The following is an 8848-nucleotide window of genomic DNA, read 5'->3' as shown; positions in this document are numbered from 1 at the left end:
GGCTTAAGGATAAATCATGCATTAACATCTCCCATCTTAAACCATAAACTCTTCTCTGATCTTACACCCTTCTGCAGATAATAAGATTTTTTCCCCATCTTCCCTCACAATAAATCTTCAAAAGAATTGTCAATACTTGTTTCTACTTCCTGTCCTTCTGTTCTCTCTTGAACTCTCTCCAATCATCACTTGCCACCACCACTCCCCTAATAACATTGTCAAGGTCACTGATAATCACCACTGTATTAAATTCCACGGTTAATCCTCGGTGTTTATTTTACCAGATCTATTACCATCATTTTGTTAGTTTATCACCCTCTATTTCTTGAAATACATTCTGCTAAGATGCCAGTTTTTCTTGGTTCTCCTCCTTTGCTTCTCCATGTTGTTCTGAGCTACATCTGTAATGCACAAAACAGTTACTGTAATAATGTATACATTCAATAAATATTTTTGGAATAAATGAATACTTGTGTTTTAAAAACCACTGTTGCTCTTCAACTATAGGCAATCAGAGCAGATTCAAATCTGAGCATTAAAAAATTAATGCCAATAATTTGTCCCTTCTAACAACAGTATAACATGAAGATAAAATGTTAGTGTAAATATAAAAAACGCAGCCTAATGATAGTTGTCATGCATTTTTGTATCATGTTTTTTTTTTTTTTTTGAGACGGAGTCTCGCTCTGTGGCCCAGGCGGGAGTGCAGTGGCGCAATCTCGGCTCACTGCAAGCTCCACCTCCCGGGTTCACGCCATTCTCCTGCCTCAGCCTCCCGAGTAGCTGGGACTACAGGCGCCCGCCATCACGCCCGGCTAATTTTTTTTGTATTTTTAGTAGAGACGGGGTTTCACCGTGTTGCCAGGATGGTCTCGATCTCCTGACCTCGTGATCCGCCCGCCTTAGCCTCCCAAAGTGCTGGGATTACAAGCGTGAGCCACCACGCCCGGCCTTTTGTATCATGTTAAAACACAGACTTTTTTTATAGTTTAATTTTAGTGGAGATTGCTGGCAAGATGGCCAAATAGGAACAGCTCCGGGCTGCAGCTCCTAGCGAGATCAACACAGAAGGCGGGTGATTTCGGCATTTCCAACTGAGGTGCCTGGTTCATCTCACTGGGACTGGTTGGACAGTGGGTGCAGCCCACAGAGGGTAAGCTGAAGCAGGGTGGGCCATCACCTCACCTGGGGAGCACAAGGGGTTGGGGAATTCTCTCCCCTACGCAAGGGAAGCCGTGAGGGACTGAGCCTAAGGAACCCTGCACTCCAGCCCAGATACTGCACTTTTCCCATGGTCTTCGCAACCCGCAGACCAGGAGATTCCTTCTGGTGCCTATGCCACCAGGGCCCTGGGTTTCAAGCAAAAAAGTGGGCAGCCGTTTGGGCAGACACCGAACTAGCTGCAGGAGGTTTTTTTTCCCATACCCCAGTGGTGCCTGGAATGCCAGTGAGACAGAACTGTTCACTCCCCTGGAAAGGGGGCTGAAGCCAGGGAGCCAAGTGGTCTGTCTCGTCAGGTGCCACCCCAACAGAGCTCAGCAAACTAAAATCCACTGGCTTGAAATTCTAGCTGCCAGCACAGCAGCATTCTGATACCAACCTGGGATGCTCGAGCTTGTTGGGGGGAGGGGAGTGCACCATCACTTAGGCTTGAGTAGGCAGTTTTACTCTCACAGTTGAAGTTTGAACTGGGCGGAGCCCACCACAGCTCAACAAGGCCACTGTGGCCAGATTGCCTCTCTACATTGCTCCTGTCTGGGAAGGGCATCTCTGAAAAAAAGGCAGCAGCCCCAGTCAGGGACTTATGAATAAAATCCCCATGTCCCTGGGACAGAGCACCTGGGGGAAGGAGCAGCTGTGGGCACAGCTTTAGCAGACTTAAACGTCCCTGCTTGATGGCTCTGAAGAGAGCAGTGGCCCTCCCAGCAGAGCATTCAAGCTCTGCTAAGGGTCAGACTGCCTCCTCAAGTGGGTCCCTGACCCCCATGTATCCTTACTGGGAGACACCTCCCAGTAGGGGCCAACAGACAGATCATACAGGAGAGCTCTAGCTGGCATCTGGCATGTGTCCCTCTGGGACGAAGCTTCCAGAGGAAAGAACAGGCAGCAAAATTTGCTGTTCTGCAGCCTCCACTGGTGATACCCAGGCAAACAGGGTCTGGAATGGATCTCCAGCAAACTCTAGCAGACCTGCAGGAGAGGGGCCTGATTGTTTGAAGGAAAATTAACAAACAGAAAGGAATAGCATGTACACTTGGAGACCCTGTCTGAAGGTCACCAACATCAAAGACCAAAGGTAAATAAATGCATGAGGATGGGGAGAAACAAGTACAAAAATGCTGAAAATTCCAAAAACCAGATTGCCCCTTCTCCTCCAAAGGATCACAACTCCTCGCCAGCAAGGGAACAAAACTGGACAGAGAAAAAGTTTGACAAACTGACAGAAGTAGACTTCAGAAGGTGGGTAATAACAAACTCCTCCAAGCTAAAGGAGCATGTTCTGACATAATGCAAGGAAGCTAAGGACCTTGAAAAAAGGTTAGAGGAATTACTAACAAGAATAACCAGTTTAGAGAAGAAAATAAATGACCTGATGGAGATGAAAAACACAGCATGAGAACTTCGTAAAGCATACACAAGTATCAATAGCCAAATCAATCAAGCAGAAGAAAGGATATCAGAGATAGAAGATCAACTTAATGTAATAAAGCAAGAAGACAAGATTAGAGAAAAAAGAATAAAAAGGAATGAACAAAGTCTGCAAGAAACATGGGACTATGTGAAAAGACCAAATCTATGTTTGATTGGTGTACGTGAAAGTGACAGGGAGCATGGAAGCAAGTTGGAAAACACTCTTCAGGATATTATCCAGGAGAAATTCCCCAACCTAGCAAGACAGGTCAACATTCAAATTCAGGAAATACAGAGAACACCACAAAGATACTCCTCGAGAAGAGAAACCGCAAGACACAAAATTGTCAGATTCACCAAGGTTGAAATGAAGGAAAAAATGTTAAGGGCAGCCAGAGAGAAAGGTTGGGTTACCCACAAAGGGAAGCCCATCAGACTAACAGTGATCTCTCTGCAGAAACCCTACAAGCCAGAAGAGAGTGGGGACCTATATTCAACATTTCTTAAAGAAAAGAATTTTCAACCCAGAACTTCATATCCTGCCAAACTAAGTTTCATAAGCAAAGGAGAAATAAAGTTCTTTACAGACAAGCAAATACAGAGAGGTTTTGTCACCACCAGGCTTGCCTTAAAAGAGCTCCTGAAGGAAGCACTAAACATGGAAAGGAACAAGTGGTACTAGACACTGCAAAAACATACCGAATTGTAAAGGCCATCGACACTATGAAGAAACTGCATCAACTAAGAGGTAAAATAACCAGCTAGCATCATAATGACAGGATCAAAGTCACACATAACAATATTAACCTTAAATGTAAATGGGCTAAATGCCCCAATTGAAAGACACAGACTGGCAAATTGGATAAAGAGTCAAGAACCGTCGGTGTGGTGTATTCAGGAGACCCATCTCACATGCAAAGACACACATAGGCTCAAAGTAAAGGGATGAAGAAATATTTACCAAGCAAATGGAAAGCAAAAAAAAAGCAGGAGTTGCAATCCTAATCTCTGATAAAACAGACTTAAAGCCAACAAACATCAAAAGAGACAAAAAAGGGCATTATATAATGGTAAAGGGATCAATGCAACAAGAAGAGCTAACTATCCTAAATATATATGCACCCAATACAGGAGCACCCAGATTCATTAAGCAAGTTCTCAGAAACCTACAAAGAGACTTAGACTCCCAAACAATAATAGTGGGAGACTTTAACACCCCACTGTCAACATTAGACAGATCAACCAGACAGAAAATTAACAAGGGTATTCAGGATTTGAACTCAGCTCTGCACCAAGCGGCCCTAATAGACATCTACAGAACTCTCCACCCCAAATCAACAGAATATACATACTTCTCAGCACCTCATCACACTTATTCTAAATTTAACGACATAATTGGAAGTAAAACACTCTTCAGCAAATGCAAAAGAATGGAAATCTTAACAAACAGTCTCTCGGGCCACTGTTCAGTCAAATTAGAACTCAGGATTAAGAAACTCACTCAAAACGGCACAGCTACATGGAAACTGAACAACCTGCTCCTGAATGACTACTGGGTAAATAACGAAATGAGGGCAGAAATAAAGATGTTATTTGAAACCAATGATAAAAAAGACACAACCTATCAGAATCTCTGGGACACATTTAAAGCAGTGTGTAGAGATAAATTTATAGCACTAAATGCCCACAAGAGAAAGCAGGAAAGATCTAAAATTGACACCCTAACATCAAAATTAAAAAAACTAGAGAAGCAAGAGCAAATGAATTCAAAAGCTAGCAGAAGACAAGAAATAACTAAGATCAGAGCAGAACTGAAGAGACAGAGACACAAAAAACTCTTGAAAAAATCAAAGAATACAGGAGCTGTTTTTCTGAAAAGACCAACCAAATATATAGACCACTAGCCAAACTAATAAAGAAGAAAAGAGAGAAGAATCAAATAGATGCAAGAAAAAATGAAGAAGGGCATATCACCACTGATCCCACTGAAATACAAACTACCATCAGAGAATACTATAAACACCTCTATGCAAATAAACTATAAAATCTAGAAGAAATGAATTAATTCCTGGACACATACACCCGCCCAAGTCTAAACCAGGAAGAGGTCAAATCACTGAATAGACCAATAACAAGTCCTGAAATTGAGGCAGTAATTAATAGCCTACCAGCCAAAAAAAGTCCAGGACCAGACAGATTCACAGCCGAATTCCACCAGAGGTACATAGAGGAGCTGGTACCATTCCTTCTGAAATTATTCCAAACAATAGAAAAAGAGGGACTCCTCCCTAACTCATTTTATGAGGCCAGCATCATCCTGATACCAAAACCTGGCAGAGACACAACAAAAAAAGAAAATTTCAGGCCAATATCCCTGATGAACATTGATGCAAAAATCCTCAATAAAATACTGGCAAACTGAATCCAGCAGCATATCAAAAAACTTACCCACCACGAACAAGTTGGCTTCATCCCTGGGATGTAAGGCTGGTTAAATATATACAAATAAATAAACATAATCCATCACATGAACAGAACCAATGACAAAAACTACATAATTATTTGAATAGATGTAGAAAAGGCCTTCGTCAAAACTCAACACCACTTCATGCTAAAAACTGTCAATAAACTAGGTATCGATGAAACGTACCTCAAAATAATAACAGCTATTTATGACAAACCCACAGCCAATATCATACTGAATGGGCAAAAACTGGAAGCATTCCCTTTGAAAACTGGCATAAGACAAGGATGCCCTCTCTCACCACTCCTATGCCACATAGTATTGGAAGTTCTGGCCAAGGCAATCAGGCAAGAGAAATAAATAAATGGTATTCAACTAGGGAAAGAGGAAGTCAAATTGTCTCTGCAGATGACATGACTGTATATGTAGAAAACCTCACCGTCTTAGCCCAAAATCTCCTTAAGCTGATAAGCAACTTTAGCAAAGTCTCAGGATACAAAATCAATGTGCAAAAATCACAAGCATTCCTATACACCAGTAACAGACAAACAGAGAGCCAAATCATGAGTGAACTCCCATTCACAATTTCTACTAAGGGAATAAGATACCTAGGAATACAACTTACAAGGGATGTGAAGGACCTCTTCAAAGAGAGCTACAAACCACTGCTCAAGGAAATATGAGAGGACACAAACAAATGGAAAAACACTCCATGCTCATGGATAGAAAGAATCAATATCATGAAAATGGCCATACTGCCCAAAGTAATTGATAGTTTCAATACTATCCCCATCAAGCTATCGACTTTCTCCACAGAATTGTACAAAACTACTTTAAACTTCATATGAAACCAAAAAGAGCCCCAAAAGGAGCCCGCATAGCCAAGACAATCCTAAGCAAAAAGAACAAAGCTGGAAGCATCACGCTACCTGACTTCAAGCTATACTACAAGGCTACAGTAACCAAAACAACATGGTACTAGAACCAAAACAGATATATAAACCAATGGAACAGAACAAGAAGCCTCAGAAATAACATCACACATCTACAACCATCTGATCTTTGACAACCCTGAGAAAAACAAGCAATGAGGAAAGGATTCCCTATTTAATAAATAGTGTTGGGAAAACTGGCTAACCATATGCAGAAAACTGAAACTGGACCCCTTCCTTACACCTTATACAAAAATTAACTCAAGATGGATTAAAGACTTAAATGTAAGACCTAAAACCATAAAAATCCTAGAAGAAAACCCAGGCAATACCATTCTGGACATAGGCATGGGCAAAGACTTCATGTCTAAAACACCAAAAGCAATGGCAACAAAAGCCAAAATTGACAAATGGGATCTAATTAAAGTAAAAAGCTTCTGCACAGCAAAAGAAACTCTCATCAGAGTGACCAGGTAACCTACAGAATGAGAGAAAATTTTTGCAATCTACTCATCTGACAAACAGCTAATATCCAGAATCTACAAAGAACTTAAACAAATTTACCAGAAAAGAACAAACAATCCCCATCAAAAAGTGGGCAAAGGATATGAACAGACACTTCTCAAAAGAAGACATTTATGAGGCCAACAAACATGAAAAAAGCTCATCATCACTGGTCATGAGAGAAATGCCAGTCACGACCACAATGAGATACCATCTCACACCAGTTAGAATGGTGACCATTAAAAAGTCAGGAAACAACAGATGCTGGAGAGGATATGGAGAAACAGGAATGCTTTTCCACTGCTGATGGGAGTGTAAATTAGTTCAACCATTGTGGAAGACAGTGTGGTGATTCCTCAAGGATCTAGAACTAGAAATACCATTTGACCCAGCAATCCCATTACTGGATATAATATATACTTAATATATATTATATACCTAATATATACTTAATATATATTATATACCTAATATATATGTAATATATAATATATAATATGTAATATATAATATATACCTAAAGTATATACCTAAAGGATTATAAATCATTCTACTATAAAGACACATGCACACGTATTTTTACTGCGGCACTATTCACAATAGCAAAGACTTGGAACCAACCCAAATATCCGTCAATGATAGGCTGGATAAAGAAAATGTGGCCTGGAATACTATGCTACATTTATACACCATGGAATATACACCATGGAATACCATGCAGCCATAAAAAAGGATGAGTTCATATCCTTTGCAGGGACGTGGTTGAAGCTGGAAACCATCATTCTCAGTAAACTCACACAAGAACAGAAAACCAAATACCACATGTTCTCACTCATAAGTGGGAGTTGAAAAATGAGAACACAGACACAGGGAGGGAAATATCACACACCAGGGCCTGTCTGGGGGTGGAGGACTAGGAGAGGCATAGCATTAGGATAAATACCTAATGTAGGTGACAGGTTGATGGGTGCAGCAAACCACCATGGCACACGTATACCTATGTAACAGAATTGCACATTCTGCACAAGTACCCCAGAACTTAAAGTATAACAATTAAAAAAAATTAGTATTGACTTTTCAATCAGGGTATAATTTAGACTGCTTGTACATAGTGTTAATATTAACATATTCATCTATATTGTGGTTCATAAATTTCACAAATATTCTTCTCCCTCCACATGTAAGGATTTATGTACAAATCACATTTTTGTCTAAAAAGACTTCTCCAATTAAATAATGAGGACAAATAGCTACATAGAAAATTCCCATGGAAGGACCACTAAAAAAACCTTTAGATTTCTATTTGTAAAACAGCAAATAAAAATAAAACTGCTCATTGTCCAAGAATTATTAGTTTATTTAATATAATCCCTGGAGACACAGCAGAGTCTCTATCAAATAATAAATAGAGTAGAAAAAAACAAAATAGTATATAATTTGGAATGCATATTTATATTTTTTCATTGGTTAAATAATAGCTTTATTATAACAGAGGAGATTATTCTAACAAAAGTATTTTAGGGGCATTGCCATCTAAGAAGACATAATATTGAAAAGGAGAGATAATTATTTTATTTTTTAAAGACAGACATACTTGAAGTATGCTCAAGTAACATAATTATATCATTTAAGGCTGACACTGTTTTACCTAGCAAACTTAGTCTCTTTTAAAAAATCATCATATAATGATAATCAGACAGATATGATTTAATAAATATTTGAGAATAAAAGCACTGAACAATTTTAATGGATCTGTAATTGTAATTCCCAAGTATCTTTCCTCTCTCAACTAATTGGGTAATGACACTGCTAGAATTAATTCAAGGTCATCAGCGTGCACAAAGTACAGATGGTTTCACCATTTTACGGGTGTACAGGGGATTCAACATTACTGTTGCCTGCTGCTTTTCAAACTAATTTTTATTCTTAAAAATCCAGATTTTTACCGCAGCTGAATAGTTAAGCCATATGTTGCATTGTGAATACTTGAAAATATCTGGTGCATGTAATTGTTACACTGAAACTACCATGCATTGGTAGTTTTCAATTTTGTTGTAAGAAAAGGATAGTTATACTACTGCTGTGTGTGTGTGTGCGCGCGCCTGTGTGTGTCTGTGTGCGTGTGTGTGTCTGTACTTTTCCTCTAAGTACCAAGCTTTAGTTTCAATTATGGTCCCAGTGAGAATTTCAACCTGAAATACATTGTATTGCTGATCTGCCTCCTGGTGTACAATCTACTGGAGTATGCTTCCATATTGCCTAATGCTATTTGAGATACTTTGCTAATCCATCTCAAAGCTAAAACACCTGGCTTTAA

At 39.6% G+C, this 8848-nt stretch overlaps 1 annotated feature.

Annotated features, from left to right (window-relative positions):
* Positions 1381-1882: an enhancer, noted in NCBI's record as "H3K4me1 hESC enhancer chr4:63437219-63437720 (GRCh37/hg19 assembly coordinates)". NCBI's record gives its function as "activates a minimal SCP1, AML or CMV promoter by ChIP-STARR-seq in primed H9 embryonic stem cells {active_cell/tissue: H9 hESC(primed)}" and the evidence as "EXISTENCE:reporter gene assay evidence [ECO:0000049][PMID:30033119]".

This window comes from Homo sapiens, chromosome 4 (assembly GCF_000001405.40).
Source record: "Homo sapiens chromosome 4, GRCh38.p14 Primary Assembly".
Lineage (NCBI taxonomy): Eukaryota > Metazoa > Chordata > Mammalia > Primates > Hominidae > Homo > Homo sapiens.
Note: the sequence above shows the minus strand (reverse complement) of the source record. Positions and strands in the feature narration are given on the sequence as shown.